This window comes from Homo sapiens, chromosome 5, assembly GCF_000001405.40.
Source record: "Homo sapiens chromosome 5, GRCh38.p14 Primary Assembly".
NCBI classification, from domain to species: Eukaryota; Metazoa; Chordata; class Mammalia; order Primates; family Hominidae; genus Homo; species Homo sapiens.
In genome coordinates this window covers 14,569,829-14,594,669 of record NC_000005.10, presented here as the reverse complement: position 1 = coordinate 14,594,669, position 24,841 = coordinate 14,569,829, and the positions used below count along the sequence as shown (strand labels likewise).

Genomic DNA, 24,841 nt, shown 5'->3' with positions numbered 1-24,841 from the left:
CGGGCTGGGAAGGGCTGCCCGCTCCCTTCCCCAGACCCCTCACCAATTCCTCACACTTCTTCCCCCCTGGGCTGGATGCCAGGCAGGGAGGCAGTGAAGTGCAAGACACGGTCCCTGCCCACAGGGACCCCCTGGCCTGGGGACACAGTGTCCTCCTGTCAGCTGGTTGGGTGAGCACCTCCATTCCCCAGTAGGTCACCTCTCTCATAGGCTTTTAGTTTCTCCTTAGGCCTCAGTGTGACTGCAGGGAAAAGCTGGGAGCCTTCAGTGTGGGAACTGATTGTTTAATTCTGAGAAACTCAGCTCCAGAATAAAGCAAAATATTGTACATTAGTCTAAACAAATAAATTAAGCACTACACAAACAGAAGGAAAAACACACAGAACAAATCCTGTTAGGCCATCAAGTTTTCTAAATAATTTGGAGCACATGGAGATTCAAGAGATTTCTAGAAGTTAGCACAGCAGTGTGAAAGAGTAAGTTTAAATTGTGTTGGTTCTTGCAAAATCATAGATTAGTTGGTTGTTTTTCTACCAGTTACGGGGGAGATATTCAGAAAAAAAACACCCTCTTAATAAATCCTTAAACTCAAAGGACCATCTGAACTTTTGTATTTCAGTTATTAATTCTGCTCAATAAGAAATGACAGTCTTCCACTTAGTAGAATACAATAACCAACAACTACAAGATCAATATCACTGAGAAAGAGAACCACCAAGTGGGAGGATTTTATCTTGAAAGTCATGACCACTAAGACATTCAACTGTAGGCTGTCATGCAACCCACTTATGCTATCAGCACCATCCCCCCAGGATGGGGCACACTGCCCCCAAGGCGCCCACTAAACTGAAAGTATCAATAAATATGACAGGAAGCTGCTCCTGGCCAAACACTGAGAGGATTGTGTGTGTGTTTTCTTTAGTAACATCACAGCTGAGAGTCGGGCACATCTCTTGACTGGGCACATCTTCTAGAGATGTTGAATGCAACCCATCATTTTAAAGGTAAGTTTCATTTTCTAATCATTGCATTTTAAAAATCCACCCAACTATAAAACCACAAAAGCTATAGATGGGATAGGCTACTACTAAAGAGGAAGTTGTAATTCCTTCCCCGTGGAGTCACAGAACTCCAGCACTGCCACTGCTTTATCCAACCACACAGGCCTCCTCAGCCTGGGAGAGACAACTCATTCGACAAAAATGAGCAAAGGACTCTTGTCTTCATTCTGTCATTTTCTAGCTAGAGGACTAATCACTTAGCCTTGATGACCCCAAGAAGGTACTCCAATGGCCAAAAAGTGGTGATAGCACAGGGTTGGAACAAAATTAAACAAAAAAGCACTATCTGAATATAAACCATTTGGCTACCATCTCCCACCATCTGTCATCCAACCACTGCTTACATACCTCTCGGCTGGCAACTCGCTCCATCCTGTGGGAGTCCATTTCCTTTTTCCCTTTTTTGGAATGTTTCTCTCTTTATTGATCAACTTTGATCATTATTCTACGAACATAGATTAAGCTCCTCCCGCAGGCCAGGCACAGTGTCAAGAGCTGATGCTACAATTATAAATGCAACCGACTGGATTCTCCTGGCAGGGACTAACAGACAGACTCCTAGTGGGAACAGAGCACCACTGAGGCAACGCTCCAGAGGAAAGGAATGCAGGTCCACAAGCACTGTAAGAAGGGAATCTGAGCTAAACGAAGTTGGAGAATGCTTCCCTAGGACATGAGACTGAGCTGAGATCCAAGGTTGGACAGGGGCTTGCAAGGCAAGGAAAGTGAGGGGAGGCTGGAGAAGCCTGAAGGTCCCGTTCAAGAGGCTGATGTTTAACTGAAGAGCAAGGGAAGGCTCTGAGAGTTTTAAGCAAGAGATTGAGGTGTTCAGATCTGTAACCACCCTGGAATCTATTGCTTGGGGTTATGAAGAACCAGTCTGATTCCTCTTCCATATGACGACCTTTTACATTTTTCATGGGATTGCAGAATGCTTTGGGCTAAAGGCAGAATTCTACTTGTTTTTTAGGCTTCCCAGAGTGCTCCCTCAGCAATATGTCCACACTGCAGGCTAGTTCAGTGTATTCATGACTGTTTCCCACTAACACCTCTAAGGCAAATGCTGAATCTTAATTCACTGTGGATCTGGTCATCTGATGAGCTCTAACAGGAATGCTTCACTTTTTGAGGTGAAGAAACTGAAGCACAGAAAAGAAGTAGAAGTCTGAACTTGAACACCCAGGTTTTGATGTAGAGCTGTGCCCTCTGAACTAACCACTGTACATTACTGCCTTCCCCTGAGTAATTCTCTTCGAAGTTCTATCATTTCCATCATTTCCACTCTGCATCTTTCTCTCTTATAGTTTAGACAGCTCCTGTTTTCTCAACCAGTCCCTACATGATATCTTTGGGGAGTCTCTTCGTGGTCCTGGTCAGTCTTCTCTAAACTCATTCCACACTTAATGTGAGACCCCAGGTCAAACACAATGTCCTGGGTGTGATCCCCAGGACAGAATTCAACAAGGTGACCACATTCTTCATTCTACATCAGGGGTAAGTCTTCTGAAAAGGGTCAGAGAGTACATATTTTAGGTCTCATCGGCCATGTGGTCTCTGTCTCAACTACTCAGCTCTGCCCTTACACAGGGAAAGCAGCCACAGACAATACACACAGGGCTCCAATCCAATAAAGCTTTATGTATGGACATTGAAATTTATATTCCATCTAATTTTCACATGTCAGGAAGTGGTATTCTTTTTATTTTTTTCCCAACCATTTAAAAATGGAAAAACCACTCTGAGGTCATAGGCCATGTAAAAACAAACAGCAGGCCAGATATGACCCATGGGCTGTGGCTTGCTGACCCTGTTTTAGATGATACATTCACAGCAATGCAGCCTGTGATTGTACTGCACAGCTACAAACAACCCAAAAGCTACTGACTCACATTCAACCTGCTGTCAGCTTAAAGCCCTTTGGACCTGTGCTGGGGTGTGTTTCCCCATCTTCTGAAGGGAAGAGAGGGCCAGGGGTTTCACTCACTCTCAAGTTTCCCGGTGGAGAGGCCTTCCTGGAGGTGGGGTTCTGGCTCCCCTACTACCGCCTTTACTCCTTCCTGAAGGTGAGAGATTGATCTGAGTGGCAGATTTTTTTAAAATGGCATGCCCAGCTCAGCCCCTTTCACCCCACAGACCTGCCCGCACAGAAGGAATCCTTGGGCCTGCCCTCTCCTTGGGAGGGAGGCCTAGAACTTTAGGATGGAGTTCAGCTTGGGCACTGCTAGCAAGCCCAACTGGCCACACAACTAAGACACGTGGATTTTATGTCACTGAGCTGACTTAGAAAAATATATTTTTAATCTCTGACATCTGTATCTACCTTTCAGTCCAGAACATGGGAAGGGAAACAAAGGATTATCCAGATCATGTGGGCCAGTTCTGGGATCTTTAGACCCAGGCAGGACCTGACATTTATCTCTGCTAGATTTCATTACTGATTTGGCTCACTGCTTTGACCTGCCAGGGCTTTGGTGGCACGTGGTCTGGTTCAACTCTCAGGCCTTTTGCCCTGGGGGTGACTTTTCCATTACTCAGAATCATTTGGGCACCATCACTAATAGTTACTAATCCTTTTGATTGGTCTCCCTTCCCCAGTTCTGTTTTCTACTCCACAGCCAGTGTGGGTTTGTTTTTTAAACATTCGATGGATGTATCATCTCCTGTGCAAAACTCTTTACAATGCAAAACTCTTTACAATGTAAAACTCTTTCCATGGCTTTTCTCATTTGTAGGAAAGACCCACATCCTGCTAGCCCCTGATGTCAGCTGGAAAGGACCCTAACAAATTGTCAGAAAGGTAAAAAATGGTCATTACCTATAGTAGCATCCTAGCCAGAGACCTCAGGAGCTGGTTCTTCTGTAACCAAGAATAGTAGTGACAGTCAGTGGCTTATAAAGCCACAACTCAACCCATAACCTCTCACCCATCCCCTGGGACCAACTGAGAAGTCAAGATTTGTCCCCCTGGGTTCAGTGTGATCTTGCTGATGGGACCACACTGCAGAAGCCTCCTTGGCCACCTCCCCGCCCTAAGTCTTTAACCCCTGTCTCCTATCATGGACTCATATACCTTTACATGGGCCTATAGATCTGCTCTCCTAAAGGGAGACCAGTGGCTTCAAAAATAACCTCATCAAACTTTATAGAACATTGCTACTCAAAGTCCACAGGACAGCAACATCAATACCATCTGGGACTTCTTAGAACTATAGATTCTCAAACCCCTTGGAAACATAATCTGCATTCCATCAAGACCCCCAGGACCCTGGCCCTGGCTCCAGTGGATTTTCAGATTTATTAGGCTGGGGCCCAGGTATCTTTTTTAAGCTCCCCAGTAATTCCAACATTGCCAGTGTTGAGAAATCCTGCTGTAGAGTAATAGCATCCCCTACCCTTAGCTGCTTCTGTTATCTCAAATACATCATCAGATGCCAATCAATTTCCAAAGTTACCATTAGGAGAAATCAGTCCAGATAAAGAAAAATCTTACTGGTCAAGTAATCCAACTAAAAGTAAGTGTTGTGTCTGTTTTGTGTGTCTGTTTTGTGCCCATTTCCCTTTGGCCAAAGTAAGCGGTTACTTTTACTAGTCACAGCTGTTGTTTTTCTATGGCTGGAAGCTATGCCTATCTAAAAAGGAACTTTTCTGAAAAAAAATTTTTTTTTTTCAGATTGATTCTCACTCTGTCGCCCAGGCTGGAGTGCAGTGGCATGATCCGCAACCTCTGCCTCCAAAGTTCAAGTGAGTCTCCTGCCTCAGCCCCCCAATAGTTGGGATTGCAGGCACCTGCCACCACACCTGGCTAATTTTTGTATTTTCAGTAGAAATAGGGGTTTTACCATGTTGGCCAGGCTGGTCTCGAACCCCTGACTTCAAGTGATCCACCCACCTCGGCCTCCCAAAGTGCTGGGATGACAGGCATGAGCCACCGTGCTTGGCCAACTTCTCTGAAATTAATAAAGAAAGGAACCTGACCATTACCCTGGCCTCCAGGGAAGGTGGCCAACTCCTCCTGGTTTGCCTGGGACTCTCCCAGTTTTAGCACTGAAAGCCCCACATACTGGCACATCTCTCAGTCCAGGCAAGCTGGGACAGTTGGTCACCCACGCCCAGTCCCCCTCATGGTCTGACCCTGACCCCTCCCTCTTCTCTCACCTCCTCCCCTTGCTCCAATAGGAGGAGTGCCTTCACTTCCTCCTAGAGCTCACGCCTGCCTCCCTACCTTGCTTTGCCTGTACTCTTCCCTCTGTCTGAAACATTCTTCCTTCTAACCATGCCCTAGTTCATTCCACTCATTCTCCAGCTCTCAGCTCAAACATCACTTCTCTGTTTCCAACCTCCAGGCTTGAGCAAATCCCTGTTTTCCTCTCTCATAGCACACGGTGTCCTTTTCACAGCACTTGTCACAGTTTACACAATTGTGTTTGTGTTTGATTAGCGTCTGTCTCCCTGCGTAGACAGTAAATGCCTTAAGGACTGGGACTGACTGTTTTCACTCTGCTTTCTGAGTGCCTAAGTACACAATAGACAGTTAATACATATTTCTTGAATGAACGAAATGTATCATGTAATCAGGATCCCGTCCATGTGTCTCCATGAGAGAGACTGCCAGCTTCCCCCAGGGTCCGTTCTCTCCTCCCATCGAGATTAAGCCCTGACTTTGGGCTGGGCACATGGCTACTCAGATAAAGGCTCATTCCATCGTCCCTGGGTGCTGGGTACTGCTGTGTGAGTGAATTCTGGCCAAGAAGTTGTTGAATGTGCAACTTTCAGAAGGGCTTGTTAAGAGGGGTGTGTTCCTTGCCCTTTTTCCTCCCTATTAGCTGGAATGTAAATGTGATGGCTGATGCTCCAGCAGCCATCTTGTACCCAAAAGAGACAGTGAGCATTGAAGCCAGGCATAGTGGAGAAACAAAGTGGAAGGAGCCTGGGGCCCTGACACCATGGAGATCATCCCAGCCCTGGGGAGCTACCTCTCTTTGATGTGAGAGAAATAAATGTATTCACCTATTTGGGGCTGTTCTGTTACTCCACCACACTTATGCTAACTAAGAGCCTCTATCCTGGTGGTCCCTTCTGACTTTTAATATGTATGTCAGAAATAATGAACCACCAGTGTGTTTTCTCTTCCCTTAATTACACCATGTAAATATAAAGCAGGAAGTGAGAATGTGAAGTGGTCATCTAGTAGGATGGTTTCAAGGTAGTGAAATGAGGAGGGAACTGAGGGAGTCAGGAACTCAGGGTCCGGTCCTAGACAGCTGAGCCATCTGGACCTCAGCTTCCTCCCCTGTGAGCAAACATAAGGAAGCCAGGCCATTAACTGCCATTTCCCTTCATTCTCCAAAGGCCTCCTTATTTTAATATGTTTCAGAGTTATGTTGGAGGAATAGTCACGTTGGGGCCAGGATTGGAAATAGTTGTGAAATAACTGACATTCAACTAAACTCAAAACATTACTCAAAGCTTGCACCACAGAAAAGATGCCCTAAGTGTGTATGGAAGATACATAAGATCTTGACAAATGCCAGCAAATACCCCGACCCTTGGAAGTTCATGCTGGGTCCTACAGATCTATTAAACCTGTCGACCCAAAGGCTAGTTCTAATAAAGAGCCTTTTCCACAAGGGCCTCCATGGTGGTAATCAGCTTCAAAAAGGCTGCTAAATGGGGAGGAAAAGGGAATATCAAGGAGACTGGGAGGGAAAGGGAGATGTAATAGGCTCCAAAATTCAAAATTCAAACAAATGAATCAATTACATATGGGAGAAGATGCAGCAAAGTGTGAAGAACAAGACAGTACAAGGTAGGTCACCAAGCACAGACTCTGCAAGTCCTCTATCATGACAGTCAACAAACCAAAATTGAGTCTAACAAATATTTAATACTTAAAAAACAAAAATAGAGGGATATACCATGGATAAAACTGATCTAATAAGCTCTCTCTTGATTCAAGGGATTTTTCTTTAGATCTCCTAGGAAGGAATCAATATGCCCAAGCCTTGCACTGCTTCAGGTACAAAACTGTGGGACCCAACATGTATATTAATCATTTCATTGGCTATGTTTCCATTTCAAGCTGAGCAGCCAACCTAACTTTAGCTACAAACCAAACTCCAAGTTCATTTTGTAAATGCCAAGTAAAATGACAAATTGCTGATCTCATCCACTGACATGAGTGCCACCAGCCCTTCCTATCTAGACAGTGACTGGTTACATTCAGCCCATGCTGGCACTGGCTTGCCATCTCTTCCACTTCCCCTTCCTATCAGCCATTCTGCTTGCTCCGCAGCATTTCGACCTGTCCACGTGGTGCATTCGGAAGACACACAGCACCCAGTCTTTCTTAACTCTAGAGAGTTCACAAGCAAGTTGAGGCCTTCTCGTCACAGGTCAAAAAATACAACCCCAAAGTATCAGGTGTTATTCTAAGACCTAGGGACCGATTCTCTCATTACCAGGCAAGAAGGAATTTAGTTCACTTCTCTTAAACTTGGAGACTAAATGCTACAGAGAACAGTCTATGCCCTGGCTTAGAGGACAGACACAGACTGTTCAAAGTACACGCTCCGATGAGCTTCCACCATCATCAGCTCCACTGCCCACCTCCATTCCTGAGCCATTTGGAACTGGTTTGTACCCACCGAGGCTGTCCCAAGCCTAGAAAGAGATGAGAGCTCATCTCCACTGTCGTGGGTACAGGACAGGGAGGTATGCTTCTTTTTTTTTTTTTGAAACAGTGAACGCTTGATGTTTAATGAGATTTTCACTTCCGATTTGAGGGAAGACTCTCTTGAGAATGACTTCCAACTACATTATCACTCCCTCTCCTAGAAGACTAACCCTAATATTCATTAACAACCAATAATATGGCAAGAGGAGAAAGAGCTGAGGTATTTATCACTCCCACTGTTAGAAGACTCACCCTAATATTCATTAATAACCAATAATATGGCAAGAGGAGAAAGAGCTGAGGTATTTTAGGTAACTTTGTGTCTATCCAATAATTCTACAGACTTGATGTCATAGTAACATGGTTAAATCAACAACAAAAGATTTACTATTAAATTCTTAATTTAGAGATTCATCAAGCATAGCATTTTATGTGCTACAGTTTCTGGGATTTTTGTTTATTACCTAGGAATCCCAGCAACAGTACTAACAGGCAACAGGCTTTTGTCTCCTAGAAATGAACATAAGCATTTTATCATCCTCTTAATTTAAACATGAGGCCACCTGTCTATTCTGGCTCCAACTAAATGGGAAAGTAGAAAAATGGACTATTACTAGCATAAAAAGTTACTAGAAAAATGAGAACATATACAAAAACTTTCTGTTGATTTATTTAGAAGCACCATTTAAATGTTCTTCCATTAAATTAATTACAAATCAGATAAATGTGTATGCAACCTCATTTTGAAAACAGATTGTCTTACCAAGTAGCTGAACATGTACCAGAGGACACACATGGACAGAAGAGAATGGAAGGATTTACTAACCAAACATATTAATCCAATAATTCCTCTAAAAATTAAGTAGAGACTTTAATAGCCATGTATGGGGAACCACTAAGCTAGGAGGTTTTAGCCCAGTAATAAAAACTTTTTCATAATCTCTCTCCTCCTGTACCCAGACCTGCAAGAGTTGTCTCAAACAATAACAACAGTATACAAATGTTAACCCAATCTTAATTCAGAACAGCTTAAATGTAATAAGGTAACCTTGGAAACTATGGCGAGCTCTCAGGTAGAAGCTAGAACTCTGTTTCACGTGACAGAAGCAGACAGATTGTTAAGAATCTGTTATGAGTGGAGTCCCATGCCAGGGCTTACCCTGGCCACCACTTACTAGCGGAAGCCTTGAGCAAATTCTGCAGCCGTTGTGAGCGTCACAGAGTGGTGATTGTAAAGATTATATAACATTATCTATGGTCAGTGTCTCCGCATCTAGCACCCTAAAGAAAATCCAAATGCCAACTGTTTTTGTGACAGGGACAAGCACTGGGTGCTACAGGCACACAGGAGAGCACACCACTCCAGGCCAGGGAGCCAGCCAAGGCCTCCCAGATGAAGCTAAGTCTACCTTGAGACCCGAGCCAGAGAAAAGGTCATTTTCAAGTTAATAATTATACCCAGTCAAGACTTTCTACTGAGATAAAATACTTGGTACCAAAAAAGTTACATTCTATTTGATATTTATTCATCTCATAGAAATGTAAGAGTAGAAGTACAATAGGACAAATGGGTGGCAAAACAACAACAACAAAATCAACTATGGACCATTTGGTTTTAAGCATTCTATTGTGGGTGCCTTTAACTGCAATGCTTTTTTTCCCCCACAGCCCTCAAACTATTTTTTAAAGAAGGGAAATATTTCTCTCGACAGTTACAACTAGCAGCTGCTAGTTGTAACTAGCAGCTCTCAGGCCTCTTTTCCTTGGCACACACTTTCTACCACCAGCGCCCCCTCTACTCCTCCTTCTCCTCCTAGAGAGTAAAGACCTTGAAGGCACTTGTTCTAGAATAAGGTCACGATTCTCAGCACACTTTTGGCAGTGCATGCGGAGGGAATGTTTGCGCCCACACTTCTCATCGCTCCTTTTGCCACCCGACCAATCACTGGGTTATTAACAGTTCCATCTGCCTACTCACCTTTTGATCACAGAAGTTCCACCAGGTAAATTCACCTGCCTGCCTAGTGATTACCTGCCACTGCCCATGGGAACACAACAAAGCCTGCTTATGGTGGCTCAGAAACATCTGCTTCATACATACAGTTGTGCCTACTTGAATGGCTTTGGATTAACAAAATCCAGGATATCGAGGAATATATCTTTCATTTAGCAGACACATCTACATAGGAGGTGGGTAACCTTGTACAAGTTTGTGTGTGACTTGGTTTCTTCAAATAAGGTTAAAAAATAACAGCTACTTCATAGTAGAAGGTAATATTAATAATAGTAGTGGCAGCTAACATTTGAGTGCTTACTCAGAACCACAACCAACCAGTTCTAAGCATTTTCCGTGTAATAAATGAACGAAGACACAAGAAGCACCAAAAAACATTAGCCATTACCATTATTTTTACATTTCTGATTTAGCATTAAACTCTTTCCTCCAAACAAAACCTCACCTAGAACAGCAAAAAACAACAAAACAAACATAAAAGTATACAGAAACAAAAAAAGCAGAGCAACTCCAAGTATAGCTGGAGTGGGTGCGCCGTTCCACACTGGGCATTCCTATTCCCCCAACACCGGCCCCTAAGAACCTCCAATGAGTCCTGTGGTTCCTGAAATCATGGCTGAAATGTGAATGTTACCACTGAACAGATGGACAGTGGTGGAGAGAACCACAGCAGAGCTGAGCCAATAAAGACAGTTAATGGCCCGAGTCTGGCCAGATGTGGGAAGAGCAAGGAAGAGTGTGGGGTGCACACATTCTCCCTGCAAACACAGTGGTTTGCCTAAGGTGTGCTGGCGACTGTGAGCTTATTCCACTCTATGACCACTTCTCCCTGCCTTCCTAATAGATGACAGCATCTTCTCTGGGCACTCCACTAAGTGATCTTCCAATGTTTCTTCGATGCATCTAACATTCTGATTCAGACAGTCTTTCCGATAATATTATGCAGAGATGCTTAGTCCATGATTTTCAATATCCTAACATACCCTAACACTTTAAAGAAGAAATAGTAAAAATCAAACAAAAAAAAACCTCTTCTGTGGGTTTTCTTCTGTTGTCTGGTTTTACTGTCAAGTGTTACTTGCTGTTATTTCGAATGCTAAAAAAGTTGTCCCTATACTAGCTTTGACAACTGATTTTAAAACTGGTTTTATTTTTGTTTTGCCAAACACCACTGGCAAAGAAGGGAAACTATGCTTGTAAGTCATCAGAAGTTATGTTTTGGAGAAAAAAGTTTTCCATAATCTGATCCTTGAATCACATTCTTCCTCTGCTGCACACCAACTGCAGATCCCACAATTGGAGCAGAGGAAAGAATCTCTCCCTGGGCTCGCAGCGCTGGCATGCATTGAATTTGGTGCAAAGAAAGGAAAAATTCCGGGTGATGATGTTAAGCCTGGAGAAGGCACCTTTCTGCCTCCTAAACCAGCCTTTCCAGCTGTGCTCCTGCCTCTATTTCCAATTTTTGTTTCTCTGCCAAACTAAGGCAGGGAGGAGAAAAGAAAATAACATAATAAAAAGTTCAAATGAATACACCCATAGGAAATATGTGGCTAATTTTATAATAACCCAAGGTGCAGAAAGGTTGAAAAAAATGAGTTCATTCTCCAAACTTTTGAGAGTGGGAGGTAGGACAGAGTTCTTCTCCACTGGGAGGGGCTGCCTGGATCAGCTAACTGGAGGCTCTCATTTTATGGATGAGGACACATCAGAATGATGTCCTCTGACTCCCAGAAAGGTGCTGTTTCCACTGCACCCAACAGTTTGCTCTGTGAATTAAAAGCTCAAGCTGGGACCAAAAACAGCAATTCATAAACAATCCCCGCACCTGCCAATTTGCCATAATCACTGCAGTTCCTGCAGCCCAAACTGTGTGTTTGGGAAACGGAATCCTCCCAAAATCCACTAGTGGGCTCCAGACAAATATAGACACAGGAATGTGTTCCTTCAAAACCAAGCAGCAGCTATGCTCATCTTTCTCGGGGCTGGTTAGGAGAGGACCCCGCTACCGAGCCAGCGGGTGGAGACGTCGAGACCCAGCACCTGACTGAACTCCCAGGCTGTGCTGCTGCCCTTGTCGGGTGATTTTTTTTTTTTTTTTTTTTTTTTTGGACAGAGCAAGGCTCTGTCTCCCTGGCTGAGAGTGCAGTGGTGCAATCTCGGCTCACTGCAACCTCCGCCCGCCGGGTTCAAGCAATTCTCCGGCCTCAGCCTTCCGAGTAGCTGGGACTACAGCTACTCGCCACTATGCCCGGATAATTTTTTGTATTTTTAGTAGAGACAAGGTTTCACTATGCTGGCCAGGGTTTCGCTATGCTGGCTAGGCTGGTCTCGAACTCCTGACCGCGTGATCCGCCAGCCTCGGCCTCCCAAAGTGTTGGGATTACAGGCGTGAACCACCGCGCCCGGCCCCGTCTGGGTGAATTTTTTTTCAGCCAGAGTATTCTGTGTTGTTAGCAAGTCTCGACTGCCGCGAAGGTGTGCGCCACATCCTCTGCCAGCAGGGCGCGAAACGCAACTCCCTCCGTCAGCGAGTCGAGCTCCCCGAGAGGACACGGGGCCCCGCGGGTCCACGCGCCCCGGGCTCGCTCCCAGGCGCAGGGCGCGACCTCCGCCGCTGCCTGGGCTCCCCGCGCGGCTCTGAGGGGACCCCGACCCCAAAGACCGGCTTTCTTCCAGGAACCTGCGTTTCCTGCCCGGGCAGGCGACCTAAGCAGCTTGGCCTCCCTTATTCAAGTGCTACCCCGTCCCCGACAGCGGCTCGACCCCGAGTGGGGGTGCAGCCCCGCCCCACTCCCGCCCGGCTCAGGGGCGCGCTCCAGCTCCCGGGCTCCAGGATTCCCAGCCCCCAACAGGCAGCGAAGGTGGCCGCCGAGGAGGGCGCGTCCCTGGCTGCCTGCGACCCCGCCCGCCTTGACGGTCCCTGCTCGCGCCCCCCGCCCCGCCCCGCCCGGCCCCAGGCTCACCTGCGGCGGGAGCGCCAGACCGCTCCCGCTCCCTTGCCCGCGTGGGGCTCCTTGTCGCCGCCATGCCGGCCGCGCTGCGGACGGGCGCTGGGCCTCGGCCCGTGGTCTGCAGTGGTCTGTCAGACGCGACGGCCGCCCGCCGGCGCCCGGGCTCGCTTCCCTGAGGCGGGCTGGGGAGGGCGGGGGAGGCGTAGGGCGGGGATGGGTACCGACTGACGCGCCGGGCAGCCAATCAGAGGCCGGGCAGGGGAGGAGCGGGCCCTAGAGGGGCGGGGCCTCCGCGCGCTGTCGGGGTCGCGGGCCCCAGAACTGCGGAGACCTCCGAGGCTCGGCAGCGGGGCGGGAAGCTACTCCTGGGGTCCAGGCGCGTTCCTGAGGCTGCTCCCCGGGAAACATCTTGGGAATTCCACTTGGGCGGATCCGGCGACCTCCTTGGCACTTTTCATCGAAGGCCCGTTGATTGGGAAGCACAATCGCGGAGGGCCGGCTGATGAGGGCGAGGAACCAGTGCTGTTTCCCCCCGCGGGCAGGTTGCTGCGCGATGCTGCTCTGTTACTGCCGGGGTGGGCGAGCCTGGAGTCCAGATGCAGCTGTCGGCCCAGGACCTGTTCACTTGACTGGGGAGATTTTCTAATTTTTCTTCCCCCGCTGGGTCAGCAGAACGGGGTTACACTTACTGAGAACTCACAGTTTACTTTGGGAGCGCAAATATGTGCATTATTGACAAAACTGTCCTCTTATAGAATGATTTATCCAAAGGAAAAAATATGGGGAGTAGTTTACAGTAGAATAAACAGCCCAAAAATGAAAAGGCGCTCACCTTGTTGTTCTCCCCCGCACTCTGCCGGTCAGATGGGCCTTTTCCAGAAGAAAAATGAAGAAAATGAAAATCCTGTTGAACACTTCCTTTTTCTCCAATATACACAGTTCCAGAGACAAACTGACTGCATGGGAAATGTTTTGGCATCTTTTGAAAGAGAAGTTCCATAACTAAAAAAAGATGTGAGAAACAGCCTGGAATCTTGTGTGGCTTCAGTAGCCTGAGGGCAATGTCCACAAGTAATTGGATCGCTTTCCTCCCTTCGCCTAGTCTCAGAACACAGGTCTTTGGCCACTCCAGTGAGATTCTTTATCCCAGCAACAACAGTTAACTTAATGCCAAGCATTTACTGACAGCTGGCATCCAGCCACATGCTTTGATATATGTCTTTTACATGCATTGCTTCATTTAATCCTCACTTGCCCATGAGGTAGGCACTGTTATTATCTCCAATTTACAGACCAGGAGACTGAGGTTCAGGAAGTGCTAGTGCATAGTTTGAACCTAAGTCTGAACCCTCAACCACCCAACCATTCTTCAATGCATGATTCACAGAAGATAATAAAAATGTTCCCAAACTCTACTGCATGTTTAGAAAATAATCCCTTTTATCTAAATCAGATCTTTGACATTGATGGGTAGTTTTCTACAACCATAAACCATCGCTTGCGTGTATAGAGCCACGTTACTCATACAAAATAAATGACTTAAAATTGTTGCGCCTAATTAACCTAAACAAGGGTATGAGCAGTGACAAGTACAAATTGTCTATTCTACAAACTAGAAATACCAGGACTAATTTCTTGCGGTATAATAAAACAAAATTTACTTAGTCCTTTAACCACAAAACAAATTAGCCAGTTCCCCTTCCCTCCTCCCACAAGACAATATTTATGAATACAGCTGTTTGTTCTTGGCCTAAAATCCTGTCAATTAATTCACATTTAGGATTTTGGTTGCCTGTAATGTTCATTGTTACTCCAAAAGCTGAATGAGAGGCCTCTTAGTGTGGTACTTAGTGACCAAACCTTGGAGCCAGACTGCCTAGTGTGCCTTCATACAAGCCACATGGTCTTACATAAGTTAGTTAACCTTTTTGTTCCTGTTTCCTTATCTGTAAAATGGAGCGCCTAAGAGTATCTACCCCATGGGATTTTTATGGGGGTTAAATTACTAAATATGTGCAAAACTCTTACAATACTTGGCACATAAGCATCATATAAAGACGTATATACATGGAGATTTCTAATTGGCTTTCTGGTGATTACATGAGTGATTACATGTCTGCACAATTACGAAGTTATTTTTTAAAAATACCTAGTTCATGAGCTCTTTGAGGGCAGGAACTCTGACCTAGAATCCCTAGAACCTAGCTCAGAGCTTAAATATGTATGAATGGGTAACTTGAGAGTGTGGTGTGATGCCAGCTGAAAGTCATGCTGAACAAAGACCCCTGCAGCAACAGTCTCAGCTGAAATGTGGACGCAAATCATCACACTTGCCAAAACATCCACCTTAGAACTACCAGAAACAGGCAGTGCCTAGCGTTGTGCCCAAAAGCCACCTGATTGCGACTCTGGAAAGCTCAGAGTGATTTAAACTACGGACAAGGGTTACTCCAGCTAGTTGCATGAGGGTTGTGGTATGACCCAAATCAGAAGAAAAACTGGCCAGTAGTTCCCAGCAAGTATTTAATTGGAGTTTTTGTTTTTATGAGGTTTTCTTGACCATTTGAACTCTGAAAATGGAACGTGAACATTCAGAGCCTTTTAAGGTTCACATTGCAAAATGCATTTTTTTTGGAGGGGTACAGAGTCTTGCTCTGTCGCCCAGGCTGGAGTACAGTAGCACTATCTCAGCTCACTGCAACCTCCGCCCCAGGTTCAAGCGGTTCTCCTGTCTCAGCCTCCAGAGCAGCCGGAATTACAGGTTTCTACCACCATGCCCAGCTAATTTTTGTATTTTTAGTAGAGGCAGGGTTTCACCATGTTGGCCAGGCTGGTCTCGAACTCCTGAACTCAGGTGATCTGCCCACCTCGGCCTCCCAAAGTGCTAGGGTTACAGGTGTAAGCCACCATGCCCAGCCCATTTTAACCATTTTTTAAAGTACAGTTTAGTGGCAGCCTGAAGGTCCCAGTGTGGGGATAGACAGAAGCCCCTGCCAGTGCCCGCTGGAAGCTTCAGGGCTCTTTGCGCTACTTCTGTGCCTGCTGTGCCAGCCCCCTTCTTCAGGGTTCTCCTGTTTCTCCCTGTTGAGGCTTCACACCTTGCCCCTAACCATTCCAGCCTTGTCCCACTTAATTTCTTAGCATTGCCTGTGAAATGTCAACTTATCTTAGCCTCACGCCACTTGCAGCATTTGTTCACCTTCACAATGGGATGCTGTAAGTGTGGCATCTCACCCATGCCCTGGACTGGCATGTAGCAGGGTGGTCCACACTTCTACAGACTCTGCTCATCCAAGAAAAAGATCATACTGTGTCCAGAATTGGCGGGTTCTTGGTTTCACTGACTTCAAGAATGAAGCCACGGACCTTCGCAGTGACTGTTACAGTTTTTAAAGATGGTGTGTCTGGAATTTGTTCCTTCTGATGTTTGAAGCATTCAGAGTTTCTTTCTTCTGGTGGGTTCGTGGTCCCCCTGGTTTCAGGAGTCAAGCTGCAGATCTTTGTAGCGATTGTTGCAGCTCTTAAGGCACTGCGTCCAGAGTTATCCATTTCTTCTGGGGGGTTCTTGATTTCACTGGCCTCAGGAGTGAGGCTACAGACCTTCCCAGTAACTGTTACAACTCATAAAAGCAGTGTGGACCTAAAGAGTGAACAACAAGATTTACTGCAAAAAGCAAAAGAACAACACTTCCACACTGCTGAACACGACCCAAGCAGCTTACCACTACAGCTTGGGCAGCCTGCTTTTATTCCCTTATCGGACTCCACCCACATCCTGCTGATTGGCCCATTTTACAGAGAGCTGATTGGTCCATTTTATAGAGCACTGATTGGTCCGTTTTACAGAGAGCTGATTGGTCTGTTTTGACAGGGTGCTAATTGGTGCATTTACAACCCCTGAGCTAGACACAGAATGCTGATTGGTGTATTTACAATTCTCTAGCTAGACCTAAAAGTTCGCCAAGTCCCCACTATATTAACTAGACACAGAGCACTGATTGGTGTGTTTAGAAACCTTGAGCTACACACAGGGTGCTGATTGGTGTGTTTACAATCCTTTAGCTAGACGCAAAAGCTCTCCAAGTCCCCACTAGGTTAGCTAGACAGAGAACACTGATTGGTGCGTTTACCAACCTTGAGCTGGACACAGAGTGCTGATTAGGGCATTTACAACCCCTGAGCTAGACACAGAGTGCTGATTGGTGCATAGACAATCCTCCAGATATAAAAGTTCTCCAAGTCTCCAGCAGACTGAGGAGCCTAGTTGGCTTCCCTAGTGAGTGAATCCTGAGCTCTGGCCGTGGGCGGAGCTGCCTGCCAGTCCCAAGTAGCGAGCCGGCAGTCCTCAGCTCTTGAGCAGTCGATGGGACCCGGCGCCACGGACAGGGGACGGCGCCCCTTGTGGGAGGCTCCAGCCGCTGGGGAGCCCATGTGTGGGGCAGGGTTGGGGCATGGTGGGCTGCAGGTCCCAAGCCCTGCCCCCGTGGGTAGGCGGCTGAGGTCCCCCCGGGAATTCAAGCGCAGCGTGGGCGGCCCGCAGTGCTGGGGGACCCCGTGCACCCTCCGCAGCTGCTGGTGCTAAGCCCCTCACTGCCAGGGCTGGCGGGGCTGGTGGCGCTGGCCGGCCGCTCCGAGTGTGGGGCCGCTGAGCCCGCATCCACCCGGAACTAGCGTGCAGCCCCAGTTCCCGCTGGTGCCTCTCCCTCCACACCTCCGGCAAGCAGAAGGAGTCAGCTCCGGCCTCTGCCAGCCCAGAGAGGGACTCCCACAGTGCAGCGGCAGGCTGAAGGCCTCCTCAAGCGCGGCCAGAGTGGGCACCAAGGCTGAGGAGGCGCCGAGAGCGAGGGAAGGCTGCTGGCACGCTGTCACCTCTCAATACGTGGCCTTTCAAAAATCGCTGGGTTCTAGCTGGGCACAGTGGTTCACGCCTATAATCCCAGCACTTTGGGAGGCCAAGGTGTGCGGATCACCTGAAGTCAGGAGTTTAAGACCAGCCTGGCCAGCATGGTGAATCCCAGCTATTCTGGAGGCAGAAGCACAAGAATTGCTTGAACCTGGGAGGCAGAGGTTGCAGTGAGCCAAGCTGTGCCACTGCACTCCAGCCTGGGCGACACAGTGAGACCCTGTCTCAGAAAAAGAAAAACAAAAAATCAGAGTTCCTGGGCGGTGATTTTTTTTAGGGGTTGGTTTCCAAGTGGCCCTGGAAGCTGGGTTCAAATCGTAGAATGTCATTTATTAGCTGGATGACCTGGAGCAAGATACTTTAAACCCTTTTTGCTTCCATGTCCTTACTTATATATTAGGAATAATAATAGTACTTACCTAAAATGGGGCTTGTAGAGTTGATTCAATGACAACATGTAGAGGCTGGCCCTTTTTAAGTGCTCAGTTAAGTGCTGTCATTGGCACCTATTGACGTCTATATACTGTCCTCTATTAGAAAAGTTGACGCTGACTGATTTTGGTATTAACGTTTTTGTAGTTATTCAGGGGCTTCGTGTGAATAAGCAGCAGTGTATGCTTAGATACAATGCAAGAAGGAAGTGGAAAGATAAGGATTTCTCAAATTCTAACTTTTATGGATATCGACAATGATGGCGTAATGTTTTAAAGACAATGGATGGTCAAATACCCTGCATAGCTGGGCAAGGTGGCTCAAACCTGTAATCCCAGCTACTCAGAAGTCTGCCACAGGAGGATCACTTGAGTCCAGGAGTTCGAGGTCACCTTGGGTGGTACAGTCAGACCCTATCTCCAAAAAAAAAAATTAAAATTATCCAGGCATGGTGGCATGCATCTGTAGTCCTAGGTACTTGGAAAGCTCAGATAGGAGGATCACTTGAAGCCAAGAGTTTGAGACCAGCTTGTGCAATACAGCCAGGTCCTATCCCTAAACAAGAATTTAAAAACTAGCCAGCAGCCTGGTCAACATAGCAAGACCCTGTCTCTATGGAAACTAAAAAACCTTAAATAGGCATGGTAGCAGGGACCTGTAGTACCAGCTACTCAGAAGGCTGAGGCAGAAGGATTACTTGAGCCCAGGAGTTTGAGGCTGCAGTGAGCTATGATCATGCCACTGCACTCTGGTCTGGGCAATAGACTAAGACCTTGTCTCTAAAAGTAAAAATAATAATAAAAAATTAAGACATTTTTCTAAAGAAATTATGTAAATTGATAAGGAGCACATAAAAAGATGTTCAACACCTCTAATCATTAAAGAAATGCAAGTTAAAACCACAATGAGATACCACTTCACACCCATTAGAATGGCTACTATAAAAACAAAAAACAACAACAATAAAGAAAATGGCAAGTGTTAGAGAGGATGTGGACAAATTGGAACCCTCACTCATAGATTGAGAATGTTTTCCACTGTGAAAAACAGTATAGTGGCTCCTCAAAAAGTTAAATGTAGAATAACCATATGATCTGGTACTCCAGCCTGGGCGACAGAGGGAGACTCTGTCTCAAACAAACAAACAAATAAATAAATATGCTTTGAATTTTATTATAATAAAATAACTGTAAAATGTGTTTTGAATGTGTACCATAATCTTAGTCAACTAAATTACAACACTGTCCTCTTAGTCATTCACACCTCAGTGCCACCCAACCTTGGCACTTTCTAAGAGCAGATGTTGACTGGAGGAGTGCCAAGAGGGCTTAGGAGCTGCCAGAGGGATTGAGGAGGTCAGCTTAGAGCCATAAAGGGAACTGAAAGATGTGGGGGTGGTGTGTGTGGAAAAGAACTTCATGATTTTGAGTAGGTCCAGACCAGAACTTAGCATTTCCTTAATTTTTCAAAAATAATTTTAGCAAATTAGATGGCTTCGCTCCTTCTCACATTCTTGACACCTATACCACCTGCAGTTTGCATAGAGCTGTGCTCACTCACCACCTCTGACTTTTGACCTTGTGTTTGCACTGCCTGGGCTGTGCTTTTCTCTCCGCTTACCTGGCTGGCTCCCATTGGTCCTTCCTCAACCTGCTCTCCTTGGGGAGGCAATTCTGGACCACCCAAGACAAGCTGGAGTTCACAAGCTGGCTTCTCTGCCCTCCCAGCTCTGCCCACTATTCTCACTGCACCTAGTGCCCTGCACCTAGTACTCTGAGACATAACTTGTTCAAATTCTTGGCCGAGCTTGGTGGCTTATGCCTGTAATCCCAGCACTTGGTGAGGCCAAGGCAGGCTGATCACTTGAGATCAGGAGTTTGAGACCAGCCTGGCCAACATAGTGAAACCCCATCTCTACTAAAAATACAAAAATTAGCTGGGATTGGTGGCGGGTGCCTGTAATCCCAGCTACTTGGGAGGCTGAGGTGGGAGAATTGCTTTAACCTGGGAGGCGGATGTTGCAGTGAGCCGAGATTGTACCACTGCACTCCAGCCTGGGTGACAGGCTGAGACTCTGTCTCAAAAAAAATTAAAATTAAAAACAAAAATACTCCATGCTTGACTGTGAGCTCCTAGAGGGCAAGGACAAAGATCTCAGCCTCCCTGGGTGTTCTGCACAATGCTTGGTAGCCATTTAATGAGTGCTTGCTGAACCAGGAATGAGGTCTCTTCAAGGTCCCACTGCCCACTTTCCTCCTCCTCACCGTGCTCTTGAGTCTGCAAATACATTCCTTGGCTTCCTTTACAAGTGGACTCGGTATACAGACATCCTTGTCAACAAATTCGCCTTCTGAAGGATGACACTTCCTCTTTCATGCTTGGTAAGCTTGTTAAGATTTCAGGGACAGCAGGACCCTTGCCAAATGAAATGTACAAATGAAAAGACAATTTTGCCAAATAATCTGACAACTAAGTAAAAATACATGGAGAGATACAATCTCTAAAATCTTTTGGTTACTTTACTGGGCTTGCAGCTCCAGTTAACCAACAAAACAAATTTCTTATGTTTTTGTCAAAGCAGAACAAGCAGCAGTCTTTCTGGCTTTGCCACCCCCACCCCACCCATTTTTAAAAATAAAGCCAAGAGTGGGAAAGAAAACCAGATTGCTCTTTTTTCTCTGAGTTGTCCATTTGTTTGTTTATTTTTTATTTTTATTTTTATTTTTTTTTTGAGATGGAGTCTCACTCTGTCCCCCAGGCTGGAGTACAGTGGTGTGATCTCAGCTCACTGCAAGCTCCGCCTCCTGGGTTCACGCCATTCTCCTGCCTCAGCCTCCCAAGTAACTGGGACTACAGGTGCCCACCACCACGCCTGGCTAATTTTTCTATTTTTAGTAGAGACAGGGTTTCACTGTGTTAGCCAGGATGGTCTCGATCTCTTGACCTCATAATCTGCCCGCCTCGGCCTCCCAAAGTTCTGGGATTACAGGCATGAGCCACTGTGCCTGGCCTGTTTGTTTATTTTTTGTAGTGACTGAGTCTCACTATGTTACCCAGACTGGTCTTGAACTTCTAGCCTCAAGAGATCCTCCTGCCTCAGCCTCCAGAATCACTGAGATTAGAGACGTGACCCTCTGCACCCAGTTAAACTCATTTATTTTTGAGGATCCCAGGGGCTGGCACTCTTCATTAGTTGACTGCTTTTCTAGTCTAAAATTTTGCTTCAGGTTTGATCTGTGAAAGACAGCTGGCTGAGGAGAGTAAATCTTGGAAACGATTAGTTCTGGCCCTCCACCATCAACTACTTGAAGGACAGTGGAAAATCACTTATCCTATGGGGGCCTCCATTTCTTTATCTGTAAAAAGAATAGAATGTCCTGGATGATTTCTCAGACTCCGTCTAATCCAACAATTACGATTCTGAGATGAACATTTTCTCAAACAGGTTGCTTTAAAAACTTGTGGTGCATTTAAATGAATAAGTACCAAGCAACAATGAAAACTCATAGTCTCAAAAATATTGAGTAACACTGTGCTATGGTCTGAACATTGGTGTCCTCGCTCCCGTAATTCATATGTTGAAACTTCATCTCCAATGCAATAGTGTTAAGGGGTGGGGTATTTGGGAAATGATTAGGTCATAAGCGCTCTGCCCTCATGAGTGGGACTCAGTCTTTAAGAGGTTGAAGAGAGTGGCCTAGTCCCTTCAGCCCTTTTTGCCATGTGAGGACACAGCAACAAGGCTCTATCTATGAAGCAGAGAGTGGGCCTTCACTGGACACCAAATCTACTAACACCTTGATCTTGGACTTCCCAGCCTCCAGAACTGTGAGAGATATTTTCCTATTATTTATAAATTGCCCCATCTGAGGTATTTTGTTATAGCAGCCTGAACAGACTGAGACACATTGGAAAGACATTTTGTTTGTTTCCTTTTAAGAAGAAATGCTATTTTCTTCCATTAGTATTGCTGCTGTGTAAACAACAGGGACTTCTGCAGCCTTTGGTCATTATGAGGAAAAGAGTCTGCCTAATGAGGAAATGTGCATGGAGGAAGTAGAAACAAGAGATGGGGAAATGGCCTTGGTACATTGTTTGAGCTCCTGGATTTAGCCATACCTGAAGCAGTATTACTCTTTCAGTTGCAACTGACATAATACTAATATAGTGTGAGCAGACAAATTTCATACAAAAATATTTCTGTACAAAAAAACTTGGAAGAATAAGCCCCTAAATATTAATTATTATCTATGGGTAATGGGGTAAAAGGCTACTTTTGCTTTCTTCTGCGTACTTTTCAGCATTTTCCAAACTTTCCCAAATTATTTACTACTGGCCTAATTTTTAAATGTTATTTTAATGCGCTGTCCCCTAAGAAACTGTGGGAACTTTGCTGTGTTGTAGAGAATCCTGCCTCCTCTGGTTTGACCCTTTTCACTGAGTAACAGTTAAGATTTGATACACTATTGTATCTTGTGAAGTGGGTCTTTGTTCAGCCCCTAAATGCTATAATGGTGTTGGCAAACTTTCTGTAAAGGGCCAGGTTGTAAATATTTGAGGCTTTGCAGGCCATATACTGTCTGTGACAAGCAGTCAACTTTGCTGTTGTTGTGGCACAAAAGTAGTTGTAGATAATTTGTAAATGAATGAACATGGCTAAGTAAAGTTTGTAAATGAATGAACATAACTAAGGAAAGTTTATTCCTAACTTTACTTAGGAATACTGAAATTAATTTTTTTTTGAGACACGGTCTTGCTTTGTTGCCTAGGCTGGAGTGCAGTGGTGTGATCATAGCTCACTGCACCCTCAAACTCCTGGGCTCAAGCAGTCTTCATGCCTCAGCCTCTGTAGTAGCTGGGATTATAGGCATAAGTCACTGTGCCCAGCTTAATTCTAATTTTATATAATGTTCACATGTCATCAGATATTCTTCTTCTTGTGATTACTTTTCAACCATTTATAAAAGTAAAAACAATTCTTAGCTCATGAGCCATACAAGGGCAGATGCCAGGCCACATTTTGTCCTCTAGCCATAGTTTGCTAAGGCCTATTCTATACTACAAGGATGTCTCATTGTATCAGCCATCACTGCATTTCAAATTTCCATGACCTTCTGGGTTGAGTCTCCAACAGGAAATCTGGCATGGTTTTTCAGCAAGCCTCATGGACTTGGGGGTTGTTTATGATGTCTGTGTCTCCTCTGGATTTGTGCTTCCTTTTACTGAGATGCTTATAGGATCTTCCTCTTTTTCAACCTTTATGTTAGAGTTAGCATCCCTATACCTTTGCTCAAGACAGCAGCCATAGTCAATTCTCAAAGTTGTCAAAGCCCTATTTTGGCATCTAAGGTTGAATATTCCTATTTTGAAGAACTTTAAAGGATGTTTTGTTAATTGCTGCCAGACTGGCTTTCTTCTCTATAATGACCCCTAGGTGAGAGAAGTTTATTGCTCTGCCAAAAATATTAAGTAAATGACAAGTCAATGACAATTTACATTTTTAGAAAATATTCAATTTCAGAATACTTTTGAAGTTTCATTTTAAGAAGGAAAAGAAGAGTGAAAGAGTTTATTTTGGTTGCTATCTTGTGTCAGTTAATAATGTTTTCAGCTCTGACTTTTTACTTTTATTTTTCGAGACAGGGTCTGGCCCTGTTGCCCAGGCTGGAGTGCAATGGTGCGATCTCCGCTCACTGCAACCTCAACCTCTTAGGCTCAAGCAATCCTCCTGCCTCAGCCTTCCAAGTAGCAGAGACTACAGGTGTGCACCACCATACCCATCTAATTTTTGTATTTTTTGTAGAGATGGGAGTCCCACTATGTTGCCTAGGCTGGTTTCAGACTCCTGAGCTCAAGTGATCCACTTGCCTGGGCCTCCCAAAATGCCGGAATTACAGGTGTGAGCCACCACACCCAGCCCATTTTCAGCTATGACTAACAACAAACTTAAATTAAGGTGGATAAACAAATATGGGTTTCAGGTCACAGAAAGTCAAGAGGCAGGCATTCTGGTGTTGCTCCTGCTTTTCAACCCTGTGACTCTTGGTCCTTCCAACATGATGGCTGTTGAAGCCAGGGAAGGAAGAAGGGGAAGAGTCAGCATTGGCTACATGCATCCTTCCATCAGATAGAGCAAATTCCTTCCCAAAAGCCCTCAGCAGACAACTGATTAAGTAACATTACACAGAATGGTATCATGTGACTATTCGGGCTGCAAGGGAAGATGAAAAAGCAGCATTTAGCTTTTTCAGGCTCCATGGTGGTAGGTGGGGGCGGAAGCTGGCAATAGAGAAGGGAGTTAGGAAGAGTTGTTGGGTTGATATAACATTTATATGATACTGAATAAAATTCCCCATGTCACGCAAAGCTTTTTTACCCTATACCATGGAATGCACAGACTTCATCTGTCTTGCTGACTGTCCAGCTCCTGGCACGTTGCAGTCACTCAATAAATATTTGCTGATTGAATGAATGAGTGAGTCAATGACAAGATCCCTGGGAAACTCATTGTTGACATTATCAGGTCATGATGTGACCTACCCTTTCTAGGACAATGCACTAACAAAGAGTCCTTTGGTTCACTCAGCTCCCTCCTGCTTTCACCTATGGTTTAATGCTGCACCATATGACAGAATGCCCTTACACACAGCCCCACCAGTGGTCTCTGCCCCATGGCTTAAACCAGGGGTGTCCAAACTTTTGGCTTCCCTGGGCCACATTGGGAGAAGAAGAATTGTCTTGGGCCACACATAAAATATACTAACACTAACGATAGCTCATGAGCTAAAAACAAAATTGCAAAAAAAA

General features: G+C 45.6%; 1 protein-coding gene across 4 annotated transcripts in view, besides 4 other annotated features; it reads right to left on the bottom strand.

Moving 5' to 3' along the window:
- The window catches only part of OTULINL (OTU deubiquitinase with linear linkage specificity like), a 34,389-nt gene extending 21,511 nt beyond the window's left edge, over positions 1 to 12,878 (bottom strand). For 2 of the 4 annotated variants that reach the window (XR_925623.3, NM_019018.3), the window contains exon 1: positions 12,712 to 12,878. Coding sequence is in view for 1 of the 4 variants with exons in the window: in NM_019018.3 (NP_061891.1) it covers positions 12,712 to 12,775 (64 nt within the window). In the remaining 3 variants the exon portion in view is untranslated. Of the gene's footprint in view, positions 1 to 3,045; positions 3,119 to 3,876; positions 3,919 to 12,711 lie in introns of all 4 variants that reach the window. The other 2 variants (XM_047417322.1, XM_047417323.1) reach the window with 2 other exon arrangements.
- Positions 658 to 1,027: an enhancer, noted in NCBI's record as "active region_22404". NCBI's record gives its function as "activates an Ori minimal core promoter by ATAC-STARR-seq in GM12878 lymphoblastoid cells {active_cell/tissue: GM12878}" and the evidence as "EXISTENCE:reporter gene assay evidence [ECO:0000049][PMID:35858748]".
- Positions 12,246 to 12,575: a silencer, noted in NCBI's record as "silent region_15942". NCBI's record gives its function as "represses an Ori minimal core promoter by ATAC-STARR-seq in GM12878 lymphoblastoid cells {active_cell/tissue: GM12878}" and the evidence as "EXISTENCE:reporter gene assay evidence [ECO:0000049][PMID:35858748]".
- Positions 12,656 to 13,015: a silencer, noted in NCBI's record as "silent region_15941". NCBI's record gives its function as "represses an Ori minimal core promoter by ATAC-STARR-seq in GM12878 lymphoblastoid cells {active_cell/tissue: GM12878}" and the evidence as "EXISTENCE:reporter gene assay evidence [ECO:0000049][PMID:35858748]".
- Positions 16,646 to 17,146: an enhancer, noted in NCBI's record as "H3K4me1 hESC enhancer chr5:14577633-14578133 (GRCh37/hg19 assembly coordinates)". NCBI's record gives its function as "activates a minimal SCP1, AML or CMV promoter by ChIP-STARR-seq in primed H9 embryonic stem cells {active_cell/tissue: H9 hESC(primed)}" and the evidence as "EXISTENCE:reporter gene assay evidence [ECO:0000049][PMID:30033119]".